The sequence below is a fragment of the Homo sapiens genome, chromosome 5, assembly GCF_000001405.40.
Source record: "Homo sapiens chromosome 5, GRCh38.p14 Primary Assembly".
NCBI lineage: Eukaryota > Metazoa > Chordata > Mammalia > Primates > Hominidae > Homo > Homo sapiens.
This window is the reverse complement of record NC_000005.10, coordinates 151441090-151467194: the sequence shown is the minus strand read 5'-3', so window position 1 is coordinate 151467194 and position 26105 is coordinate 151441090. Positions and strand designations below refer to the sequence as shown.

Below are 26105 nucleotides of genomic sequence, written 5' to 3'. Positions count from 1 at the left end.
AGGTGGGGAAGGAAGGAATACAAAGACTGTTACAATACAAATGCAATGCTCCCAGAAGGGGAGGTGTTTTTTGTTTTTGTTTTTTAATAGATTTAGGGAGTACAAGTGCTGTTTTGTTAAATGGATATACTGCATAGTGGTAGTGCCTGGGCGTTTAGTGTACCCATCACCCAAACAGTGTACATTGTGCCCATTAAGTGTTTTTTTAACAGTGCTTTTCCCCAAGCCATCACAGACCCTTCCTGGCAGTGACAAGGACGAGATGCCCTGGCAGGAGAAGAAACCATGCTAGGTGCCACTGGTCTGGGGCATTGGGAAGAAGGTGAGGGAGGTGCTATCTGTGTGGTTTCCGACGTCCCCTTCCTGGCTTCTCGTCTGGAATGCTGCATGAGGTGAGACACATGCACAGACACCATGACCACTGCCCAGCCCCTTAGCATCCTCTCTACACATCTGCCCACCTATCCCATCTCACACTTTTTTGTTAGTTACAGGGAGCCCTTGACATAAAACACAAGGAAATAGTCCCCTTCACTGTCTCTATAACTTGGATATAAGAACCAACCAAGTCCCACATTAAGGACACAGAAACTGATGTACCAAAAACAGACTGCTGGTTGAACAATAGCAGCTGGTAACAACCTAAAGGATCATCAAAAGCAGAGTGATTAAATTATAGACCGTTCTTAAATGGAACATTACACAGCAGTTAAAAAGAATGTGTTAAATCTCTATGTGCTGATAGAGAAAAACGTCTCAGACGTTTAAGGGGAAAAAGCAAGTTTCCAAACAGTATACATAGTATGGTCAATCTGTGCAAAAAACTTTAAGAACATGTGTATGTTTCTACTTATACAGCAAATTCCAAAAGGCTACCCATGCAACTGTGACCAAAATTTTCTTTCACTTTTTACTTTATGTCCTATCTTGATCAAAACAAAGTTTTTACTATGAGCACGCATTAAAATAGCACACATTTTATTAAAAGGAAGGAAGGAAAGGAGGGAAGGAGGGCGGAAGAAAGGAAGTAGTAAGAAAGAATGGAAGGAAGAATTAACAACCACCCAACTCATGGTGGTCACCTGGCAATCTAGCTTCTCCCAGTTACAGAAAATAATTTGGCCAAAAGAACTATATAATCTGCATCACAGGATAAAGGTGACTATGAATGAAAGTAAGTTTCCTCTATGACAACAAAAAGGAACTTTTCTAGAGAACATAGTTTTAATGTGGTTCTTTTTTTTTTTTTAAGAATTTTTAGCCCTTGATAGTATCAATTTCCTACATTTAAATGTAGAAAACAAACATAATATTTCCCTCCAAACACTGAAGAGTTACCATAACGAGAAATTTGCAAATACTTCCCACCTCCAAACTCATCTCCACACCCTGCTCTAGTTTATCTCACCTTCTCCTGAAGCCTTCTTTGCTCCTATCTCTCATGTGCGTTTCTCATCTGGCACAGCCGACAAGAGAATCTTTAAAGTTCCTCTCTCTCTGAGCACTGAGGGTGTACTCCTAGCTCATGACACTTTCTTCTTATGGGTGTCTCCCACTACTGGTCTCTTATCTTGTTCCCCGGCTTCTCTTCCCACATTTCTTTTTCCTTACACAGACTACAAGCCTCTGGAGGGTAGGAACCACATAATTTACTTCAGGAAATCTTCCCTTCTTACCTAGAACTGTTTTGTTCCATTTATAAGATAGTGCTTAAATACATTTGTTGAACAAATGAGTGAATCAAAAACAATCACTGGTCATAGACCGCCAAAGCTGGAATGGCTCTAGAGACCATTCAGGCCAGGCCCCATGCTTTCCTGATAAGAAAACTAAAACCCAAGGAAAAAAGGGGTTACCCAGCCCCAGGTCACACAGCTTACTACCAGCAGAGCTGAGCCACAGCCCAAGGCAACTGACCCAAACAGCACTCTTTCCACGCTTTACACTGTCTCCCACGTTGCACCTCCCCATCTGAAGGCCTCACACTGGGAGGCCACAGTTGAAAGGAAGGAGGAAATCAGTTACCTTCCCCAGTGTGCGTGGTTCCGGAGCCAGGAGCAGGGGCTGGATTCTAGTCCATACATCACAGTATCACCATAATCCACAAAGGATTTATTCAGCCTGGAAGAGTAGGAGGGAAGAGGAAGGACAGAGCACGTGGATTAGACAATGACAATGACAGAACAAAAAGAGCCACTGAGACCTGGGCCAGTTCCCATCTTTCACCCTGGAGGTACCACTCTGAGTCCTGTATCTCGTGCTTTCAAAGATCAGAAGTATTCAGTCGACAGGATGGTTACTTTTATTATAATTAACAACCATCTGGTAGAATCATTTCAATGGGGTAAATATTACAACGCCCATGAAATTAGAATGTAGTACCCACTGGGCATAAGTAAATTTAACAGATGATAATGAGCCAGAAAAGAACGCAAAAATAACCAGGGAAAGGAAAACGCTGCAATCATAAGCTGCTACCTCCAGCCAGTGTAAAGAATTGAGAGTGGTCTGCATCAGTGCTCATTTTCAGGGTTGATAACAGAACCCAAAAGGACAATCTGTCACTTGAGAGGTGGCTCAGAGGGCTCTCACCTGCGGCAGAAGTGGTGAGCACATTTCACCAGGATACCCATGCAGTGCACGGCCACGATGCCTATGATCAGCAGGCTGATGGGACCCATCTGGGGACAGATATTGCAGGCAAAAGAGAGAGAGAAAAGTAGGTAGAATTAGGAGTGAACCCAATGGATACTCAGTTCACAAAGGATTAAAAAGCTACTAAGGCAGTTTTCAGTGACAAAACTTTGGGCCCAGCATTAGAGAGAGAAACGTGATCATGGAGATTAGCTCTGTGAGATGGGTGTTATCTGAACTTTAGCACATTTTCGAGAGATTTAGTCACGTGGAGAAGAAGGACATAAGATAAGTCTGTTCCAAGACTGGTGCACATCAGCAGAATAGAAGGCTCCTGTGACTGTGGGAAGAGCTGGGCTAAGGGATGTGAGGTGAGACGGGTAAGTTATCTTTACAGCAATGCCAGATCAAGAAAGACTGCACTTAGCTAAGGGCAACCCACATCTCTGAGTCTCTCTTCAACTCCGAAAGAAACCAGAATGGCTTTGGGCAGGCAGTCAACTGGAGGTAAATCACAAAAAGAAGACATAAGATTCTTGCAGTTGGCCATTTAGGAACAGGGCATGGGAGACTGTAGAAAATGGGCAGACATCTGTAACTAACTCATTAGTTCATATTATTGACAGAAACTGCTCGAGCCATCTCAGTACATCCTCTCCACCATGAAGTAAGCTCCATGAGGGCAGGAATATTTAATTCACTGATGTATTCTAAGAGCTTAGAACAGTGCCTAACGCACAGAACACTCTCAATAAATATCTTTAAGTGAATGAATGTCTGAATTCCGCTTTTTGTCAACTGATTTTTTTAAAATGCTTCTCTATTTAAAATGTTTTAAAGCAAGTACATTTTAACAACAACAAAAAGCTACCTCCTAAAATTTGTCACCACTCCTCTCCACTGATGCAGACCCTTACCACGATGCCTGCATTTTTCACCGCCAGAGGGAGTCCCAGGAGTCCTGTGCCAATGTTGCCTTTTAACAGGTGGATCAAGGTCTGGAACCATCTGAAGTGGAAGACAGCCAAGGAAATGATAACCATGACAGTTAACTTTTATTAGGATCTCAGTGCTTATATGCATTATCTTATTTTATTTCCACAACAACCCTGTAAGATTTTATCTTATAGATGATGAAGCAGTTTGCTCAAGGTCACATACCTAGTAAAGGGCTGGGGCAGGATTCAAATTTGGGCAGTCTGACTCCAGAGCTCCCCCTCTTATCCACTGTGCTGTAAGTCTCCACTCTCTGACATTTCTGAGAATCCCTTCTCTCAGAGATTAGACCAGAGGGGTGCTCCAACTCTCTTCAGACACTCTATCCTTTCCAAGTGTATTTGGGTCTGGTTCTAACCACTGAACTGACCACTGTAAAGGCTCAGACCTGGCCAGGCACAGTGGCTCATGCCTATAATCCCACTACTTTGGGAGGCCGAAGCGGTGGATCACCTGAGGTCAGGAGTTCGAGACCAGCCTGGCCAACAAGGCGAAACCCCGTCTCTACTAAAAATACAGAAATTAGCCAGGCATAGCGGCATGTGCCTGTAATCCCAGCTTCTCAGGAGGTTAAGGTAGGAGAATTGCTTGAACCCGGGAGGCAGAGGTTGCAGTGAGTTAAGATCGTGCCACTGTACTCCAGCCTAGGCAATAGAGGGAGACTCCATCTCAAAAAAAAAAAAAGACTCAGATCCCAAAACTGCAACAGAGGATGACAAACCAAACAATGACGGACAAACACTGGTAAGAGAACAGAGGAAATTAAAAAATAATAATAATAATAACAGAAGCCCCAAACCCTGTAACAGAAAGATACAAAGTGAACAGCATAAAAGTCACACCACACCATAAGAGGCCAGAAGTCCCTGATACATTTAGTATTTAAAAAAAAAAAAAAGTCAGGCCAGGTGCAGTGGCTCATGCCTGTAATCCCAGCACTTTGGGAGGCCAAGGCGGGCAGATCATGAGGTCAAGAGATTGAGACTATCCTGGCCAACATGGTGAAACCCCGTCTCTACTAAAAATATAAAAATTAGCTGGGCGTGGTGGCAGGCACCTGTAATCCCAGCTACTCGGGAGGCTGAGGCAGAAGAATCGCTTGAATCCGGGAGGCAGAGGTTGCAGTGAGCCAAGATTGTGCCACTGCACTCCAGCCTGGGTGACAGAGCAAGACTGTCTCAAAAAAAAAAGAAAAAAAAAATCCATTGGTGATCTTGCTCTTTCAATGGATCTTTTACCCATGCAGAATTCCTAACATCATACTTTGGTTGAGTTTACACAGATCTTCCAAATGTTAACATCTTCATTGTATATTAATAATATCAAAAAGTCATATTTGTTAATATCACCACTAATCTCATCAGAAAAGTCTTCAAGTAGAGGGGCTATCAAGCTCATGGTACTGGATACAAGTTGGTTTTTTTTCCTAATTTTGCTTGAAAGCTTGAATTTTATTCTGGGCAACAGATATGTATTATCTATTGTTTTCCTTGAGGTGATGGGCTGATTTCTTTCATTTTCAAGAAAATGTCTTACAAGTACTCAGGTCTGAATGACCTACAGTTTGTTAGTTGTTCTTTCTAGTTCTATGAAAAAAAAAAAAGGCAGCAAGTTTGGTTGACAACTCATATAATCACTCGAGGTCTTTGCCTTAAGACAAGTAACATATTTTGGTACTCATAGAAGTACTTCATGCATACTTCCCATTTTGCCACACAGAATATTAAAGACCTATACTGAAGGGTCTCAAATTTTTAAATATTAGTAATCCTACAGTTTCATCAAAGACATTATTAAGTGCAAAGGGCTTTTTTCTTTGCGCATGTGTGGCAGTGAAAAATACAACGACAACTAGTATAATTTGGTGCCACTGCCTTGATTCGTTCTACAGTGTAATTTTACCCACCATTGCTTCTACATTATAAGTGCAAATATCCACAAGTGAAAAAGCAGATAACATCTTAGTATTATTATGAAGAGAGTTTTAGCCTCATAGACTTCTTGAAATGGTCTTGGGAAGCCCACAAAGTGTGCAGACCACATTTTGCAAATGACTACTCCAGCTCACCTTTAGAGAGCCAGTTTCAGTCTGCTGGTTTCAGTTTGCATGGGGAAGAAGCACGGAGGCTTGATATATATAATGGAACTCAGAGGGGCAACAAGAAGAAAAATCTGCCCAACAGCATAAAATGAGGCTGTCTTCGAAGCAGTCAATAGCTTGGTAACATCAAGTGTTAGTAAATAACCTCACTGAACACACTAAGAAATAATTCACAGGTCAGGCATGGTGCTCATGCCTATAATCCAAGCACTTTGGGAGGCCGAGGCAGGCGGATCACTTGAGCCCAGGTGTTTAAGACTAAGTGGGCAACATAGCAAAACCCTATCTCTACAAAAAAAAAAAAAAAAATACAAAAAGTAGCCAGGAGCATGCCTGTAGTCTCAGCTACTTAGGAAACTAAGGTGGGAGGATCACTTGAGCCCAGGAGATGGAGGTTGCAGTGAGCCATGATTGTGCCAGTGCACTCCAGCCTGGACAACAGAGCAAGACCCTGTCTCAAAAAAATAAAAGGAAGTAACCCATGAAACTCATGGAAGTGTTTGGGGTTCCTATTTGCACCCCCTAACTAGGGGTTTTTGCTGAGCCCTTGACTTCTAGAAGAGCCAGGTGTGTGCATGCATATGTGCAGTAGGTGTAGAAGTACTTCCATGTATTTTGTTCCTTGGCAAACTAGATAAAAGGGTGGGGCAAACCAGAAATATAAAAGGAACCCAGCTCAAAAACTTGTCTCTAACACTTCCGACATATTAAAATATTAATTTAGGTTAAGAAGGTCCTCCAAATCAACCTCTACCTTAATCATACCTGGCATGTTTTCTATATAAATCCTTGCGTGGATCCTATGCCCCAGGCTGGAAGTACTCAACCAGTCCTCTAAGCCCCAGCAAATTACTTTATCTTGTACCACCTGTGATGGGACTGTAATACCTGCCATCAACTACAGATAGGCTTCCCTGGTCACCTACACTGTATCACAACATCAAGGCAGGAAGGGAAACTCGGAACAAAGTATACCCTGGAAAATGTCACAATACAAGCCTGAGGAAGGTATCTTCTGATTTGTTCGATTTCCAAGAAACAAGGACATAATTTTGTCCAAAACCTATGAGCTACTATCCTAAAGTTGCTAGTTGGTAGGTTTTGAGCTTCAGAGATGTCTCTATAAACATAAAAATCCAGACCTCATCTGCTAAATATTGCTTAGACAAGTTGATATCTGAGATCAAAAAGGAGCAAAAACTGCAAAGGAAACTACAGAGAAGGAAGCTTAGAAGTATCTTACGATAACAAGCATGACCTCTGAAGGGAAGCCATCACATGCCATTGGCTGTGTGTGGAGATGCTTCTGCATGGGGGCTGCCAATGCTGATAAGGTTGGAGGAAAGAGGGGCAGGGTGATCCACACTGCTGCCAGCTGTGCTCTAAGCAATCTACCACCAGCTAACTCCCACTGCAGGCTAATGGGGAATCTACAAAAGCATACCCCTGAGAAATAAGCTACAGAAACAGAATCTTAGAGGACTGGTTGAGTACTTCCAGCCTGAGGCATAGAAATCAGCTAGTGGTGGTGACGGGCCAGGAATGTGGACAGACATTCTTCTAGTTCCACCCCAGTTCGCAAGAGAAAATGCCCTGTACCAGCAGACAGTGCAGGCAGAGGGAGCTTCTCCAGTGATGAGCCCAGAAGCTTCCATGGTCCGCTTGGGCAGTCATCAGGAATGGCATAAGTCTAGGACATGAAGGATCTCTCAGTAAGTCACACTCAGTCCACAAGAAAACACAGAAAAGGTAATAGCTAAGCTTGAGGAATAAACAGGACTGCAAAAGCTGAGATGCTGGGACACAGAGAAAAGTCAGAGGTCTGCTGAAATCAGGAGTAGCTGGGAAACTAACTCAATGGAGTAGCAAAACTTCCTCTGAATTTTCTAATTCAAGTGGTGAGCCCCACACAGCCAGCATAGCTTTGTGGTGGAGTCCTCAATTTTTCTTTACATTTGGGGAAAGTGAGACCTGAAGCGGGCCAAACTCAGCCCAAATGAGTCTGGGGTCCCAGTTTCTGGAGACAAGAGATTAAGCCCTCTTTGGAGAATGCAAAGTCTATCTTTCCTTTCCTACCAACCCTGAATTTTTTAAGTGCAGAAGTTAATTCTTCTCTCTTCCCACTTCTTCAGTCAAATGAATACTGATTTGGTGATGGGGCAGAATTCGGGGGGAGACTTTGCAAAGGAAGCTTCCGATTATGCTTGGAAATTATTTGGGGTTCTAGCACAGATGACACACTTTTAAATTAAAAGAATGTCCTCTGTAGAAGCTTTTTTTAAGTCCAAGCTCTCACTTGGCACCAGCCTTGGGGGGCCAACACAGCTGAAAGGAAAAAAGAGTAAGAAACTGCCTAGAGAGTGGCAGCCCAGGAAGGCAAATCTCAGCGCAGTCACTCGCCCAATCTCTTCACTGCTGACCTTCATCTGTAAAGTGGAGGACTGATGAAATTGGGGGGAAAAATAAGTCCAAGGGAGGCTTAGGAACACGAATCCCACCCAGGAGAGGAGAAGGTAACAGCTACTCACGTTGTGCTATTGCTTTGACCAAAGCGCTGGTAGGAGCCCGGGGAGGAGAGGTTGTTGAGGCCTTCCGACGGGCTCTCCTCAGGGCTCACGTCCGTGGAGCTGTAGTCGTGGTAGTCTTCATTCCGAAGTCTCTGCGTGGACATGGCAGCTGGGGGGACAGGGCCAGCATTAAGACCTCCTGCAGCTGGAGCCTTTAGCTCCATATTTGGGGTGGCCTCTGGGGTAGAAGCTGTCATTGTCAGAGTTGCTCACTGTGACAGCTCCACTATGGATTAAGTATGAAAGTGCCTGGTACCAAGGGAAATGGAAAAGTGCAAAGTACACAGAGGCGGGCTGAGTTCACTTGACTTCTGACTCCCATCCTTCCCATTGGTATACGTGGTGCTACACTCATAAATTTCTTAATTTTCCGGAGTACAGCTAGACAAGGCAGAAGTGAGGCACTGCTTGGGAGGAGTGGGGGAAAATGAAAGAGAAGTGCTTCCTGGAATTCCGCATTCCCTATTCCTTAGGTCAGGATTATCTACTCCTTTCTGAGATAATGTCTTGGACCTTGTGCAATAGTTCAATCGTGTGTGTATATATATATATATAAATATCCCATATATATATATATATATATACGTATATACACGTGTATGTATATATATACACGTATACACATATACACACGTATATATATATATGTACAAGCTCTTGGGGGGATGGAAATCTGGGTATTTCTCATCGTATACTCTTTTTCCTCTGCCTTCAATAGAGAACACATTTCACTCAAGAAATCCTCTCTGGGCTGGGTGTGGTGGCTCACGCCTGCAACCCCAGCACTTTGGGAGGCCAAGGCGGGCGGATCACCTGAGGTCCGGAGTTCAAGACCAGCCTGAGTAACATGGAGAAACCCCGTCTCTACTAAAAATACAAAATTAGCCGGGCGTGGTGGTGCATGCCTGTAATCCCAGCTACTCGGGAGGCTGAGGCAGGAGAATCGCTTGAAACCGGGAGGCGGAGGTTGTGGTGAGCCGAGATCGTGCCATTGCACTCCAGCCTGGGCGACAAGAGCGAAACTCCATCTCAAAAAAAAAAACAAACAAACAACAAAAAAAAAGAAAACAGAAATCCCCTCTGGATCATCCAATTCTGCTGAAACTCCCACCAAATCCCAGAGCCACACATGCCGTTCTCTTTCTCTCTGCTGTGACCACAGGCTGATCCTATACTCTCTGGAGGCCACCAGTAACTCTTATACCCTGACCCTGGGACTCCTTTCTTGCTGCCAACCTGAGTACTGAGAAATGGTAGCTGAAAGCAGCTCAGAGGAGGACCAGGAAACTGAAAGGTGCTCACCCTGGCCCTCGTCTCAACATCTCCCATCCACAACTCTTCTTCCTTTTTATTTTTATAGATGTGCTCATTTTTAAAATGGTGAGAGAAAAAAATGTCCTTTCAATGTGTTGGGAGGGTGGTGAGAGTGGTGTCCCCTGGGTGGATTTACTCAGGAATACTATTAATACTACACAAAAGAGAAGAGCAAGGGCTTCTTAAAGATACACAATAAGGACACATTTTGGGAGCGATGTAGGCCCCTAGAATCCTAGAGACCATTGCTAAATGAGCCTTCACAGGTCACTCTAAGCCCCTTACTTTAAAGATGAAGAATCAATGCTAAAAGATGAAGTAACCTGCCCTGCAACAGCTAGGTAGTACCAAGCAGAAAACGTTATCTCCTGACCCCTGTCAGAATCTGAAAACAACCACTCTACAGAGTCCCAGTTGCTATGAGAGAGTATTACAGCACAGTGAAAGAGTCAACTTCCTGCTCTTCAAGAACCAAGTGACAAAAAAAGGGTACATTAATATAAAAAATGACAAAAATCCTCCCGACACTTGGCAGACTGGCACAGCTACTTGCCCGTCAGACTGTCCTCCGGCATGTGGCTGGATGCCCACCTTAAGCCTGGGCACTCTATCTCAGCTACCTTGAGAGGAGACAGGACCTCCAACTGCTGCCACAGCACCCCACCCTGCCCCGACACCCAGCACCACCTGCCAGAGGATGGTGCTCCGCCGAAGGCTCTCCTTAGGTCCAGTGCCAGGGTACTCCTTTGGAAACACCCCAGTCTGGCACCAGAGAGATCCACGGGAGATCGCATTTTCTCTCAACAATTGCAATGTAGGAAGGACCCCCAAGCTATCTCACAAGGGAAGTACCTGGCAAAATGCCAGCAAAGGACCTGGAAATCCCAGAGACGATCCTGCCTAGCTTCATTGCCAGAGCCACTTGGCTAAAAATCTATGAGAGCTTCATTTACTCATGAGCTAGAGGAATTCAAGGACGCCAACCAGCTCTGGGGCAATTAAACTCACTAGAGGGCCGGGAGAAAAAAAAAATCTCTGAAGTATCTTAATACCAGCATTGTAACCTCTTGCTATACAGGTATAAGCTCGTAAATCAGTTTACAGGTATGTCAGGAGGCCCAGGCGCCAAGCCTACCTCTGTCAACAGTTTGCTTAGTACCTGTGAACCATTTTCAAATGTGCAAAAAGCATGGGGCATAAACTAAAATATCTCTCAACTCCCTCTAGCACTAATATTCTAGGTGTCAATGAACATAATTATTTATGCAAACAGCAGCTGAGTGCAGTGTCTCACACCTGTAATCCCAGCATTTGGGGAGGCTGAGGTGGGAGGATCACTTGGGCCCAGGAGTTCAAGACCAGCCTGGGCACCATAGTGAGACCCTGCCTCTACTGAAAAAAAGAAAAAGCTGCCAATTTCTAGTCCCTTCCAACAAACCAAAAGCATCTGAAGATAGAACCTTCCAAGTGAATCTTGTGAGAAAGAAAAGAAACTTTTTATCTGAGGAATCCCTTTAAATTACGGGTCCAGAGAGGCACTAAAATGTGAGAGCAGTCATGTGTCACTCCCCCCTTGAGTTAAATAATTACCTCTTGAAGCCACTTGCTATGTGGGTTCTAGACTAACTGACACCACTAAGTCATAAAATGCTAACACTGGACATCATAACTCATACCCTATAGTCCAACAATGTACAGCCCATCAATAATCCATGCTATTTCTGTAAACTGATGAGAATTCCTGTCAAGTCACTTTGTATCAGTCCTCTCCTTGTTCGCTTTTGCCTTTAAGAATCTGTGGTAACAAAGGCCGAAGGACGCACTCCCCCAGGCAACTTGGAAGTGTGTCCCGGGCAGCTGTCCTCACTTGGTTCAAGTAAACAGTTCAAGTAAACTGTTAAAAATTGCATTTTGTGTCTCAACTTCTTCCTTTAGGTTGACACCTATATATTACTGAAGGTGAAAGGATGGAATACAGGGACTTATTAATTGCCCAATCCTTCCCTAGCAACCGAGAAACCTCTCTGTTGTCTACTTGGTACAGATGTTCAATTTATCTCAAACACTGCAGAGAGACTTCTTTATGTTGTGTATAAAAACTGAAGTTACCCACAGCAGAATATTGCTAAGAAAACTTCTCAACAAGAAGCTGAAATCTATAGATTTAAGGTCCAATAAGCCTGCGGGATATGGAAGATGTGGCTAAGCAACTGCATGCATATTGAAAACAGAAAAAAAAAATTCTGCTTGGGAGTTCTGGTTGATGATAAGCTCAACAGAAGGCAATAATATAATCCAAGATGCCAAATAAACCAACACAATTCTAGGTTGCATTAGGACATGAGAGAATCATGGGTAGACATCGGCTCCATCCATCCCACATGCTAGTAAGTGGACCTCGGCTCCATCCACTCTACAGGCCAGTAAGTGGACATCTGCTCCATCCACTCTACATGCTAGATGTTACACATGGGTACATGTTACACAACTCAGAATTGCCAGATAATGTGTTCTCTTCCAGGCAGCATGCTATAAAGGGGATAATGACAAATTGTGGTATATCCAGGGGTCAGAACTAGGATCAAGAGGGGTAGGAAACCAACTAAATGAGGAATGGTTGAAAGCACTGAGAAGGTTCCACCTAGCAACTTGAGGGGTACAAAAACTGTCTTTAAAAGCCGTCTCTACTAAAAATACAAAAAATTAGCCGGGCGTGGTAGCGGGCGCCTGTAGTCCCAGCTACTCGGGAGGCTGAGGCAGGAGAATGGTGTGAACCCGGGAGGCGGAGCTTGCAGTGAGCCGAGATCGCGCCACTGCACTCCAGCCTGGGCGACAGAGCGAGACTCCGTCTCAAAAAAAAAAAAAAAAAAAAGCTGTCACATGGATTAGACTTGTTATTTGGGGCCTCAAAGGTCAGGCAGGGCTAGGATCAGTACGTGGAGAGTCAAGAGGGCTGATTTTTTGCTAGGTGTAAGGAAGAACTTTCTATCAAAGACAGATCTGTTCCAAATAGAACAGATCACTCTGGGAGAAAGCCTGTTCCCTTATCCCTGAAAAAATCCAAGCAAAAGCCCTTTCTCAGAGCAGTTATGTAAGGATTCAAGCATCAGACAGTGGGCAGAGCCACTCCCCGGAGTTCTTTCTATGGCTCTTTTTGGAAACCAAGGCCTCCTCCTCCTGCTCTCTGTCTGTCCCCATGAGTGCTGGCATCCATGGCCACACTGCCCTTAGGCTCCCTTTGATGAAATCTGATAGCCAAGTCTATTGCTGCAATTGCCAGTTCCCGCCCTATGGGAGATTTTAATAGTACCTGTTAACTGTCTAAATGAGGGTTGTACTATGTGAGAGTTGAAGGCAAGCTTGTCCTTCAGATTACTGAGGACAATAAACAGAACACAAAGTCCAAATCTCCATTAGATATTTAGACTCAGAAGAGTGAGCAACTGAGTAAAAAAAGTCTGCAAGTTTGATGGCCAAAAAAAAAAAAAAAAAAAAAAAATTTAAGTGTACAAACCTTAAAACATTCCTTTTTTTTCCTTATGTAACTATTGTTTTAGCTGTATAAATAGACAAGTGTTGCTCTTCAATCTACAAAATATGCCATTTTTAGATGGGCACTAAAAATGAGCAGGTGGAATCACTTTGTGCAACGGATGCAATATGGAAAATGTATGTGCAAACTGAATTTTTATTTTTAAAAATAAAATAAATTTTATTCTATTTTTAAAAATAAAAATTTGTAGGTGTTAAATTTTTCAGAAGTGGGCAATTTTAAGGGGAATTCTACAGTGATTTTTTTTTTTTAAGGCAAGGCCAGAAATTTTTCTAATAAATTCAAATGCTAATGTTCCCATTTTAACAGCATGGGATTCAGGACTCAGGAGAACATAATCTGGCTGTCATTCTAATCCCAAAGTTGTTTTCTTATTTTGATATAGAATTGAGAAAACTGCATTAGATGATTTCTAAGTACACTTTCACTTCTAAAGTTTCAGGATTCCAATTTCAATTTTTTAGTGACTGGGTTTGTTCAAAATAAAGGAGGATTAAGATCAATAGATGGTAACATATTCTGAAGTTGTACCATCCAGTACAGTAACCACTAGCCATAAATAGCTATCTTACACTTGAAATACACTTGGGTAAAATTGAAATGTGCACACTAGATTTCAATGAACTGGTAACAAAAAAATTGTGAAATATCCCATGAATTAATAATCTTTATACTGATTATATATTGCAATGATAATATCTGGGATATATTGGGTTAAATGAAACATACGTCAAGGAAAAAAAAATAGATTTCTGGGCCCAACTTGATTCCACCTTAGCATTTTATTTTATTTTATTTTATTTATTTATTTTAATTTATTTATTGGAGATGGAGTTTCATTCTTGTTGCCCAGGCTGGAGTGCAGTGGTGCGATCTTGGCTCGCTGCAACCTCCGCCTCCCAGGTTCAAGCAATTCTCCTGTCTTAGCCTCCCGAGTAGCTGGGATTACGGACATGCGCCACCACAACTGGCTAATTTTTTTCTATTTTTAGTAGAGACGGGGTTTCATCATGTTGGCCAGGCTGGTGTCAAACTCTTGACCTCAGGTGGTCCACCCACCTTGGCCTCCCAAAGTGCTGGGATTACAGGCATGAGTCACCATGCCCAGCCTATGTTTTTTTGTTGTTGTTTTTGTCTTTTTGTCTTCTTTTTTTTTTTTTGAGATGGTGTCTCCCTCTGTTGCCCAGGCTGGAGTGCAATGGTGTGATCTTGGCTCACTGCAACCTCCGCCTCCTGGGTTCAAGCGATTCTCCTGCCTCAGCCTCCCGAGTGGCTGGGATTACAGGCGTCCATCACCATGCCCAGATAATTTTTTGTGTTTTTAGTAGAGATGGAGTTTCTCCGTGTTGGCCAGGCTGGTCTCAAACTCTTGACCTCAAGGGATCCACCTGTCTCAGCCTCTCAAAGTGATGGGATTACAGGCAAGAGGCGTTTTATTTTTAACTAGCTTCCTAGGTAATCTTGATTATAGGTAGATTTATATAAAGCACTACAAAAAATATATGATCTTATTATGATAGGTACACCCTAGGCCTCACCTCCTACCAGAATTCACGCATTGGCGCCCCTTGTTTGCAAGCTAAAAGTGTCATCCGTTATTCTGAAACAATTACATTGGTTTGGACTTTGGAACTCAGAGCAGCGGCAAATTCCCCAGATGTATTTTCTCCTCTCTGTCGATGGAATTCTAAAAACATGAACAAAGACACAGACTGTGTTGCTATGTGTGGTCTACAGTGAGGGAAGTAAAATGGTTTGGCTTCTACATAATTTGTTTTTAAAACAGCATCAGATAGAATTCCATCCAACTTACCAGAGCAGAACATTCCATAAATTGAGACTTTTTCCTGTAGGAGTCTGATGCTAGAACAGCTACAGGGCAGCTGCTGACCTCAGCAGGTTCTGCACAAAGCAGCTGCTGAACAGGCAAACACGCACACTTTTACTCCCAACCATGAAGATCACTAAATGTTAGGGCCAGGTATAGCTTTAGAGAAGGTCAAGCTCCAGCTTCCTTCTTAGGGGTCAGAAAACCAGGGCCCACACACAAAGGCTGACTCATCCAGGCCCCAGGATGAGTCAAATCAAAGATTTGAGATGACAGTCCAGCAAACCAGCATCCCAGTCCAGTATTCTTTCTACCACACCTTAAATTATATACCCTCCTTAAAATCTCCCTGCGAACAAAGCTGGCCCCAGAGCCTGGGGCAGGATTAGGTCTGCAGCGGGTATTCTGCATAATAAAAAGCACCTGAGTTTGCAGTCTGGTAGTGTGACTCTGAGCAAGTTAATTCATCTCCCTTTGCCACAGTCTCCTCATCTGAAAGATGTCATTAATAACATCTACATCACAATATTGTTATGAAGATAGGAGGAAAAAATAAATAAATGTTAGATATGTTGCCTGGAACATAATAAACCCTCATTAATGATAGCAATTGTGATTATTACTACAGAGAAGTTCAAGGACAGAAAGTGAGAAAGTTCACTAAACAAAGTCTGCAGTATGGGCTCCATTTAAAACTCTGGATTGTGAAGCCAGGTCCCTACCTTGGAGATGGTGATCTAAGTGACATGAACATCTCAGTAACCCACAGACAGATTTCCTAACTTCATGGAAAAGGAAAGCACAGAGTGGCTTTTCCTACTAGAGATGGTCATTAAGGACTAGCCCTGGGGCCAAGCATGGTGGCTCACATCTGTAATCCCGGCACTTTGGGAGGCCAAGGTGGGAGGACTGCTTGAGCTCAGGAGTTCAAGACCAGCGTGGACAAAATAGTGAGACCTCATCTCCAAAAAAATAATAATAATAAAATAAAATAAATAATAAGTAAAAAAAGAACTGGCCCTGGGTGTCAAGGCTTCCAAGAGAAATATTTTGGGGGATAAAAGAAGAGACAACCCCAAATGCAGCACCGTGTGGTTCCTATTTCAGCCTATTTACAATGCCCCATCCATCGGCCCCCATGCCCATTAAGTAGAGGCTACCTTTATGTGCTCATCACAGTAAGGCCTGGCCAAAGGAGAGAGGTACAGGATTCTTCCAAGGCCTGGGTGGAAGTAAACAGACTCAGTGAGAGCTTCTTCTATGGGAAACAAGAGAAGGCCTGGATGGAAATAAACGGATTCCATGTGAGTTCCTCTATGGGAAAAAGAGAAAAGCTGGCCTAGGTGTGAGTAATGCTAATCAGTCATGCACTTTGGAAGCGGTTATCAGCACCAGGCCAGGAAAAGCAGAAACAGAAGACTATTCACTCATCTGACCTTTGAAGCGATATCAAGCATTTAAAGAACTGAGATACTCACTGGAGGGGAGGTGGTGGTGATAAAAAGAAAGAAAAAGCAGGAGTACTTAATATGAGAATAGTTACCTGAGACAAGGTTATAAATAGAAACAAAGTAATCACAAAACTGGACATCAGCTCCATCCACTCTACATGCCAGTAAGTGGACATCTGCTCCATCCATCCCACATGCTAGTAAGTGGACATCGGCTCCATCCATCCCACATGCTAGTTAAGTGGACACCAGTTCCGTCCATCCCACATGCTAGTAAGTGGACATCTGCTCCATCCACTCTACATGCTAGTAAGTGGACATCTGCTCCATCCACTCTACATGCTAGTAAGTGGACACCTGCCCCATCCATCCCACATGCTAGTAAGTGGACACCGGCTCCGTCCATCCCACATGCTAGTAAGTGGACACCGGCTCCGTCCATCCCACATGCTAGTAAGTGGACATCAGCTCCATCCATCCCACATGCTAGTAAGTGGACATCAGCTCCATCCATCCCACATGCTAGTAAGTGGACATCTGCTCCGTCCACTCTACGTGCTAGTAAGCGGACATCTGCTCCATCCACTTTACATGCTAGTAAGTGGACATCGGCTCCATCCATCCCACATGCTAATAAGTGGACATCTGCTCCATCCACTCTACATGCCAGTAAGTGGACATCGGCTCCATTCATCCCACATGCTAGTAAGCAGACATCTGCTCCATCCACTCTACATGCCACTAAGTGGACACCTGCTCCATCCATCCCACATGCTAGTAATAAGTGGACATCTGCTCCATCCATCCCACATGCTAGTAAGTGGACATCTGCTCCATCCACTCTACATGCTAGTAAGTCCAGTCCTAGAATGTCACAGACTCTTGAGTTGAAAGAAAACTTAAAATTTTGTCTAGTCCAACCCTCTACCCAACAATCTAATTTCATCTACAACATCCCCGAAGTAATTGCCCAGAGACGATTACCTCCAGTGACAGGGAGCTCCGTGCTCAGTGTTCTAATACAGGAGACCACTAATTCTTTGAAAGTTTTTAACACTTACCAAACACCCTTCCCTTATGGCACTTTCATCTATTGGTCCCAGTTGTAGTCTCCAGAATATTATAAAATAAATGGAATCCCTTTTTCTTACACCGCCTTTGGAACAGAGAAAACTCTGAGCACTTCGAACTGCCACAAGAGGAGGCTGAATGAACAGCTACATGCCTTAAAGGGAAAACAAGGACTCCAGAGCAGGCGAATATAAACGATACAATCAGAAAACAAAGGGAGAGGCTTAAAGCTGTTATCAGCACAGCCTCTGCTGCACGTAGCCTCCATCCCCAGACAAACACAAAGTTTGTCCCTTTCCACTTGACTTCAAGAACATTTTTAACGAAAACATGTTCTAAATGTACAAGTAAGTTAATTACTGTAAACGAGGCTCTAGACAAGAGTCAGAAGAGGGCCCTGATCATGTTTAAAATAATAACAGACAGTTAAAAATCATTTTCAGCTGTTAGTATTTAGCTTAGACATAATACAGAGATAGGAAGAAAGAGGAGGAGGATTTTATAGCAACAGAGGAATAAGCAGAGGAAACTGCTTCCTACACAATTAGATTAAGTCTTGTTGCAAGGCTGATACTCAGTGTACACAGCGGGTAAAATCTCTCGGAATAAAAAAACAAACAGACCCTGGTCAGGGGCACTGGCTCACACCCCTGTAATCGCAATACTTTGGGAGGCCAAGGTGGGAGGATCACTTGAGCCCAGGAGTTTGAGATCAGCCTGGGCAGCATAGTGAGACCTCATCTCTATTTAAAAACAAACAAACAAAAAAACAAGCCTAGAAAGATGCACAACATCCAGATCACAGCAGAAGGGGCCCTTAAGAATTCAATTCCATCACTGTCTAGACTGAGAAACCCAAACGCGAGTCACTTAAGGTTGCCAGGTAAGCGGCAGAGCTAGGACAAAATATCCTGATTCCCCAATCTCTGTTCTGTCCATTGCACCATGATGCTATCTTCAGCAAAATTCAAATAACTGCAAAACGTCCATCCAAATAAGCAATCCCAAATCTGACAAGTTACAGAAAAAATAAAGCAAAGGTCTTTACATTCTTCAAGTTAACGTCAGGGCTCTCCACAACCTCGGCTCAGCCACCTATCTTCCCAGAAGCACATTCCGATTCATATTTCATATTTTGGTGTGACTTACATAGAATGCAGGAAGGTTAGAAACCAAACCTACAGAAGGATGAGTTTGCAGAAAAATAATGAACAAACAGGGAACCACACCCAGAGCAAATCCAACCCCAGCGGTGGAAAATGCAGACAGCTAAAAAGGGAGAGGACTAAAAGAGAAAGGGACAGAAAGGAGTGCCTTTTCACAGGTGAAGTTTCCCGCAGGAGGCGGTGTGGCGAAAAGCAAACAGCTGCTGAAGCTTAGGAACATTTGCATTCTAGTCGCAGGTCTCCGGGTCTCCGATTAACTCACTGGATGACCTTAGGCAAGCCCTTACCCCTTCCCGGAGTAAGGGCTCAGTTTCTCCAACTGTCCTAGGAGGGAGCTGCACCAGACGACTTCCCAGCGTCCTTGCAGTTCTGACCCAAAGACCCATTATGAGCCTGTCTCAAGCAGCGCTCCCGCAGCGGGCAAGACATTTGCTGGAAACGGGGAGACCTGTGCGAAGCGTGAAAGACGCCCTAGATGGTCCTTTGGGTTATCTTCACCATCTACCCCAGTTTCCCCCACCTGTCAGTCAAACAGGACGGTGAGATCCCAACCCCACGAGGTCAAGGGAGATAGCGCGAGGGACAAGGGATCTCCACGCTTCGCCCAATTCACAGAGGGGTGTCAGCGTCGTACCGCAGCTGCGGCCCGGGGACGCCAAGGAGTCGCGGACCCACAGCCCGGGCGGATCCAGTGCCTGACCTGGAGCATCTGCCACGCCGGGAGGAAGGCGAGGTGGGTCCTGCCCAAGGCGGCGAGCGCCGCCAGCCGGCAGCCAGTGGAGGAACTCACTGCTCGGGTTCTGGCCCCAGCTCCGGCTCCGGCTCTGGCTTCAGCACAGCCCACCCTTCCCGGGTTCAGTATCAGCCCCTCGCCATCCTCCTTTGCTGCCCGGCAGCCGCTTCCGGACCTCATCACGTGATCCCACCGCCCACGCCAGAGGCCGAGGTCACGTGCTCCCTTGAGCGGCCGCGCCTTTTTTCTCACTGAGCTCCGGAGCTCTGCTCCACAGCACCACCTGGCGACCTATTACTGCCACTGCTGGAAGGACTATGTTCCTGGGCGCTGGGGACTGCGAATAGGAACTGAACAGGGCATTGATCTTGGGCATGGGGCAGAGTCCAGTCGAAGAGCACTGTCCCTTGAGTTGTGGGTTTGTGAAATATTGCTAATTTTTACACTGGCTGTATTTTCTTTTACACATCTCGATGAGTTTGTATTGCTTTTATAATAAGAAATATGCATATTTTTAAAACTTCCAATTTTTCAGAAGCATACACAAACTATCATCTGTGGTTGCTACTGGAAATGGAACTGTGGGGTAGGGCAACATTATCTTTTAATACATTCAAATTTTTAAAGTAACATTTTTAAATGGATGGCAACATTTCAGTATTGTATTATCTAGGCTTCTCCTTTTACCTCCTTGTTACAGACTTTTCCTTTAACAATTATGTAACAAATAGGCTTCAAGTCAAAAACTGTCACAAGAGACAGAGAAGATCATTGTTTAATAATAAAGGGGTCAATTCATCAAGAAGACACAACTGTAAATATATATGCATGCAAAATTGGAGCACCTAAATACATACAACTAATATTAATGGCCATGAAGGGAGAAATAGATAGCAACACAATAGTAGGAGGGTCAATATCCCACTTTCAACAATGGATAGAGCAACTAGAGAGAAAATAAGGAAATAATGAACTTGAATTGCACTTTAAACCAAATGAACCTAACAGATATATACAGAACTTTCCATTCAACAGAAACAGAATACACATTTTTTCTCTAACACACTTGAAACATTCTCTAGAATAGACCATATGCTAGTCCAAAAAACAAGCCTTAAATTTAAGAAGATTGAAATCATATTAATATTCTTTCAGACCATAATAATATGAAGCTAGAAATCAATGACAGGAGGAATCTTGGAAAATTCACAAATATGTGGAAATTAAACAACACGCTTTTTTTTTTCTTTGAGACAAAGTTGCGCTCTTATTGCCCCATCTGGAGTGCAGTGGTGCAATCTTGGCTCACTGCAACCTCTGCCTCCTGGATTCAAGCGATTCTCCTGTCTCAGCCTCCCAAGTAGCTGGGATTACAGGCACGTGCCACCACGCGCGACTAATTTTGTATTTTTAGTAGAGACGAGGTTCACCATGTTGGTCAGGCTGGTCTCAAACTCCTGACCTCAGGTGATCTGCCCACCTCGGCCTCCCAAAGTGCTGAGATTATAGGTGTGAGCCACCATACCCAGTCCTATGCTTCGAAACAACCAGTGGGTCAAAGATGAAATCAAACGGGAAATTTAAAAAATATTTTCAGACAATTGACAATGGAAACATAACATACCAAAGCTTATGGAATGCAGCAAAAGTAGTTCTAAGAGAGAAGTTTATAGCAATAAATGCCTACATTAAAAGAGAAGAAAGAGACCAATTAAATAGTTTAACATTATACCTCAGGAAACTGGAAAAAGAAGAGCTCACAAGACCCAAAGTTAAAAGAAGAAAAGAAAGAGCAGAACAGAAATAAATCAAATAGACAACAGAAAAAAAAACAGACAAAATCAATAAAACTAGAGTTGATTTTTTGGAAAAAATTAAATTGACGTACCCTTTGCTAGTCTAAGAAAAAAAAGAAGACTAATAAAATAAAAAATGAAAGTGAAGACACTACAACAGAAGCTTCAGAAATAAAAAGAATCATATGGGGCTATTGTGAACAATTATTTGCCAACATATTGGATAACCCAGATGAAATGGAGAAATCCCTAGAAAAATACAACCTACCAAGATTGAAATCAGGAAGAAATGGAAAGCCTGAACAGACTAATAACAAATAAAGAGATTGAAGATGAGACAGGGACTATCTGACTTTCTGGTTTTCTGTTTAAACTTCCCAACAAGACCAGATGGCTTCACAGCTGACTTCTACCAAACATTCAAAGAAGAAGGTTTGTTACTAAACTCTTCCAAAAAATGGAGCTAGAGGGAATACTTCCAAACACATTTTATGAGGCCAGCATCACCTTGATACCTAAGCCAGAGAAAGACGCCACAAGAAAAGAAAATTACAGGCTGATTTCGCTAATGCACATTGGTACAAAATCCTCAATAAAATATTTGCAAACAGAATTCAACAACAATCAAAAAAATTATGTATCATGACCAAGTGGGATTTATCCCTGGCATGCAAGGCTGGTTTAACATACACTAATCAAGCAATATAATACATCATATTAACAGGATGAAAAATGAAAACCACATGGTTATCTCAATTGGCCTGGCAAAAGCATTTGACAAAGTCCAACATCTTTTCCTTCCCTAACCCCCACCCCAACATACCTTCTTGATAAAAAAAAACTCTCAATAGTTTAGGTATAGAAAGAACATTCCTCAACATAATAAGGTCGTTTATGAAAAACACACAGTTAACATTTTAATTAATAGGGAAAAACTGAAAGCTTTTCCACCAAGATCCAGTAGCAGTCAAGGATACCCACCCTCACCACTTCTATTCAACATAGTACTGGAAGTACTAGCAAGAGCAATCAGCCAAAAAAGCAAAAGAAAGAAAGGCATCCAAATCAGAAAGAAAAAAGTAAAATTATCTTTATCTGCAGGTGACATCATCCTATATGTAGAAAACCCCAAAGATTAAAAAAATACTGTTATAATTCATGAATTTAGTAAATTTTCAGGACATAAAAATCAACATACATGACTGGGCTCAGTGGCTCATGCCTGTAATCCCAGCACTTTGGGAGGCCAGGGCAGTGGGTCACCTGAGGTCAGGAGTTCAAGACTAGCTTGGCCAACATGGTGAAACCCTGTCTCTACTAAAAATACAAAAGTCAGCCCAGCATGGTGGTGCATGCCTGTAGTCCAAGCTACTTGAGAGGCTGAGGCAGGAGAATTGTTTGAACCTGGGAGGCGGAGGTTGCAGTGAGCTGAGATCGCGCCCCTTCAGCCTGGGTGACAGAGTGAGACTCCATCTCAAAAAAAAATTAAAAAATCAATAATATTTTTATACACAAATAATTACCTACCTAAAAAAGAAATAAAGAGAATGATTTTATTTGTGATAGCATTAAAAAATACTCAATAATCAATTTAACCAAGGACATGAATAGGGTGTACACTGAAAACTATAAAACAATGATTAAATAAATTGAAGAAGACACAAATAAATGAAAAGATATCCCATGCACATGGATCAGAAGAATTAACATTGTGGAAATGTCCATACTATCCAAAGCAATATACAGATTCAATGCAATCCCTATCAAAATCCCAACGGCATTCTTTACTGAGATATAAGAAACAATCCTAAAATTTGCATGAGACCACAAAAGACCCTGAATAGTCAAGACAATTCTGAAAAAGAAAAACAAACTGGATGCATCACACTTCCCGATTCAAAATTATATTACAAAGATATAGTAATCCAAACAGTATAGTACTGGCACAAAAACAGATATGATAGACCAATGGAACACAATAGACAGCCCAGAAATAAATTCAAACATATATGGTCAACTAATTTTAAAGAAGGGCATCAAGAGAACACAATAGGGAAAAGACAGTCTCCTCAATAAACGGTGCTGAGAAAACTGGTTTTTATGTGAGAAAGAATGAAATTGGATGTTTATCTTACACCGTACATAAAAATCAACTCAAAGTGGATAAAAGGCCTAAATGTAAGATCTGAAACTACAAAACTCCTAGAAGAGAACATAGGGGAAATGCTCCTGGACACTGGCCTTGGCAATGATTTTTTTGGATATCAGACCAAAAGCTCAGATTACAAAAGCAAAAATAAATAAATAGGACTATATCAAACTAAGAAGCTTCTGCACAGCAAAGGAAGTAATCAACAAAGTGTAACGGCAGCTTATGAATTGGAAAACATATATGCAAACCCTATGTCTAATAAGCGCTTAATATCCAAAATGTATCAAAAACTCATATAACTCAGCAATAGAAAAACAACCCAATTTAAAAATGGGCAAAGGACCTGAATAAACATTTCTCCAAAGAAGAAATAAAAATGCTCAGTGAGCATATGAAAAAGTGTTCAACATCATTAATCATCAGGGAGATGCAAACCAAAATCATTATTAGATATCACCTCATACATGTTAGGTTGGATATTATCAAAAAAGTCAAAAGACAACAAATATTGGTGAGGATGTCGAGAAAAGGGAATTCTAGTACACTGTTGGTGGGACTGTAGACTGGTGCAGCCATTATAGAAAACAGTGTAAAAGTTTCTTTTTTTAAAAAAAACAGTATAAAGGTTTCTAAAGAAATTAAAAATAGAACTACCATATGACCCATCAATCCCCTTTCTGGACATATACTCGAAGGAAATGAAATCACCACCCCATAAAGATATCTGCATGCCCATATTCATTGTAGCTTTATTCACAACAGCCAAGATATAGAAACAATCCAAGTGTCTATTGACAGCAGAATGAATAAAGAAACTGTGGTATATATACAAACATTTTTCTAAAAAAAGAAAGGAGTCCTGCCATTTGCCACAACATGGATGAAACTAGAGGACATCATGCTAAGTGAAATAAGCCAGACACAGAAAGAAAAAATATTGCATGCTCTCATTTATATGTGGAATCTTTTTTTTCAAGTCAAATACACAGAGATAGAGAATCAAACAGTGGTGACCAGGGCCCAGGAGTGCTGGAGGAAGGAAGTGGAGAAATGCAGCTGAGAGGATACAGAGTAGCAGATATGTAGGATCCATAAGTCTAGAGCTCAAAGGGACAACATAAGGACTATAGGTTATACAATTGTACTGTACAAACAGTAGAACAGAGGTTACTAGTAGCTGAGCAGGGTGGAAGGAAAGGATAGGGAGAGATTTGTTAAAGGATACAAAATTACAGCTAGATAGGAATCAGTTCTATAGCTCTGTAGGATGAGCATAGGTAACAATAATATAGGATGTATTTTCACATAGCTAGAAGAGGGGTTTTGAATGTTCTGAACACAAAGAAATAAGCGTTTGAGATGATGGATATGTTAATTACCCTGATGTAATCGCTGTACATTGTATACATCACTGTGTACCTCATAAATATGTATAGTTATGTCAATTAAAAATAACTTTTTAAAAATAAAAAAATCACACTGTATTTAAAATTCCTGTGAAATGAGTAAATTTTAGCTGCTCTTGCCACAAAAAAAGAAACCCCAAATAATGGGTAGCTATGTGAAATGATGGAGATGGCAATTCACTTCACTATAGTTACAATTTTACTATCTATAAGTATCGCATAACATCATGTTGTAAATGCTAAATATACACAAAAACATTTATTTGAAAAATAATTTTAAAACAAAAATTATGTTCTCAACCAAAAAATACTATTAATACAGCTACAAAATGGATGTCAAAATAATTATACATGGATAAATCAAAAAATAATTATGCTAAGCAAAAGACATTAGGAAAATATTTCATTTATATAATATTCTAGAAAATACAAAATAATATAAAGTAATGGAAAACACACATCAGCCATTGCCTGGGAATGCGGAGGAGAGACAGGAGAGAGGGTGATTATAAAGCGGCATGAGGAAATTTTCAAGGGGACAAATTTGTTCACCATCTTGATTGTGATGATTTCACAGGTGAATATATATGTTGAAACTTATCAAGTTACATGCTTTAAATACGTGCAGTTTATTGTATGTCAATTATACTTCAATAAAAGCATTAAGATATTCAGTAAAAAATTATATAATAGGTTAATATATTCTTAAAAGTTAGACAATATAGAAATATATAAATTGAAAATCCCCTTTCCCCAAATTCACTCCCCTCTCCAAAGGTTTACAGGTGCCAGCATGTGTGTATTGTTCTCCAAACCCTATATTATACAATTACAGAAATATATACGTATGTATAGAAATATACAGGTTTATGGTGTTTAAATTTAAAATCATAAATACCAGTACTTATTGTTTTGCTTAAGACTTTTACTCTTCACAATTTTCTCATTTCTCCCCCTTCTACCCACTTGTCTCCTCCACTTTCAATATGTGCAGAACTGTTTTTTCATAGGTCTTCTTAGAAGCTCTGATGTATATTAACATACATTAAATACAACCTCTTGTTTATAGCACATACTATTAAAAACTTTGCCTTAGAGTATGCACTCCATTTCTTTGCCTTTTGTTTCATTTTTTTAGAAATGAGGTCTTGCTATGTTGCCCATATTGGAGTGATCATAGCACACTACAGCCTCAAACTCCTGGGCTCAAGTGATCTCCCATCTCAGCCTCCTGAGTAGTTGGGACTACAGGTGCATGCCACTGCACATCACTAGCATGCATTCTGTTTTAACCATTGTGCCAGTGCTTCTCAAAGTGTGGTCCCTAGACCAGCATC

General features: G+C 42.0%; 1 protein-coding gene across 27 annotated transcripts in view, besides 3 other annotated features; it reads right to left on the bottom strand.

Moving 5' to 3' along the window:
* The window catches only part of SLC36A1 (solute carrier family 36 member 1), a 211490-nt gene that overhangs the window by 88891 nt on the left and 96494 nt on the right, over positions 1-26105 (bottom strand). For 6 of the 27 annotated variants that reach the window (XM_047416925.1, XM_011537595.3, XM_047416920.1 and 3 more), the window contains exons 1-4: positions 8260-13086; positions 3552-3642; positions 2593-2681; positions 2026-2121 (exon numbers count right to left, since the gene is read on the bottom strand). In XM_047416925.1, the coding sequence (XP_047272881.1) occupies positions 2026-2121; positions 2593-2681; positions 3552-3642; positions 8260-8495 (512 nt within the window). In that variant the 5' untranslated portion in view covers positions 8496-13086. The other 21 variants (XM_017009217.2, NM_078483.4, NM_001308150.2 and 18 more) reach the window with 16 other exon arrangements.
* Positions 14990-15159: an enhancer, noted in NCBI's record as "experimental_82502 CRE fragment used in MPRA reporter constructs". NCBI's record gives its function as "activates a minimal promoter by MPRAs in K562 erythroleukemia cells, with activity observed for the non-introgressed 5:150831682 or rs117862811 variant allele {active_cell/tissue: K562}" and the evidence as "EXISTENCE:reporter gene assay evidence [ECO:0000049][PMID:34662402]".
* Position 15074: a transcriptional cis regulatory region, noted in NCBI's record as "Neanderthal adaptively introgressed variant 5:150831682 (GRCh37/hg19 assembly coordinates) or rs117862811 in the experimental_82502 CRE". NCBI's record gives its function as "modulates activity of the experimental_82502 enhancer by MPRAs in K562 erythroleukemia cells {active_cell/tissue: K562}" and the evidence as "EXISTENCE:reporter gene assay evidence [ECO:0000049][PMID:34662402]".
* Positions 19563-19612: an enhancer, noted in NCBI's record as "active region_23457". NCBI's record gives its function as "activates an Ori minimal core promoter by ATAC-STARR-seq in GM12878 lymphoblastoid cells {active_cell/tissue: GM12878}" and the evidence as "EXISTENCE:reporter gene assay evidence [ECO:0000049][PMID:35858748]".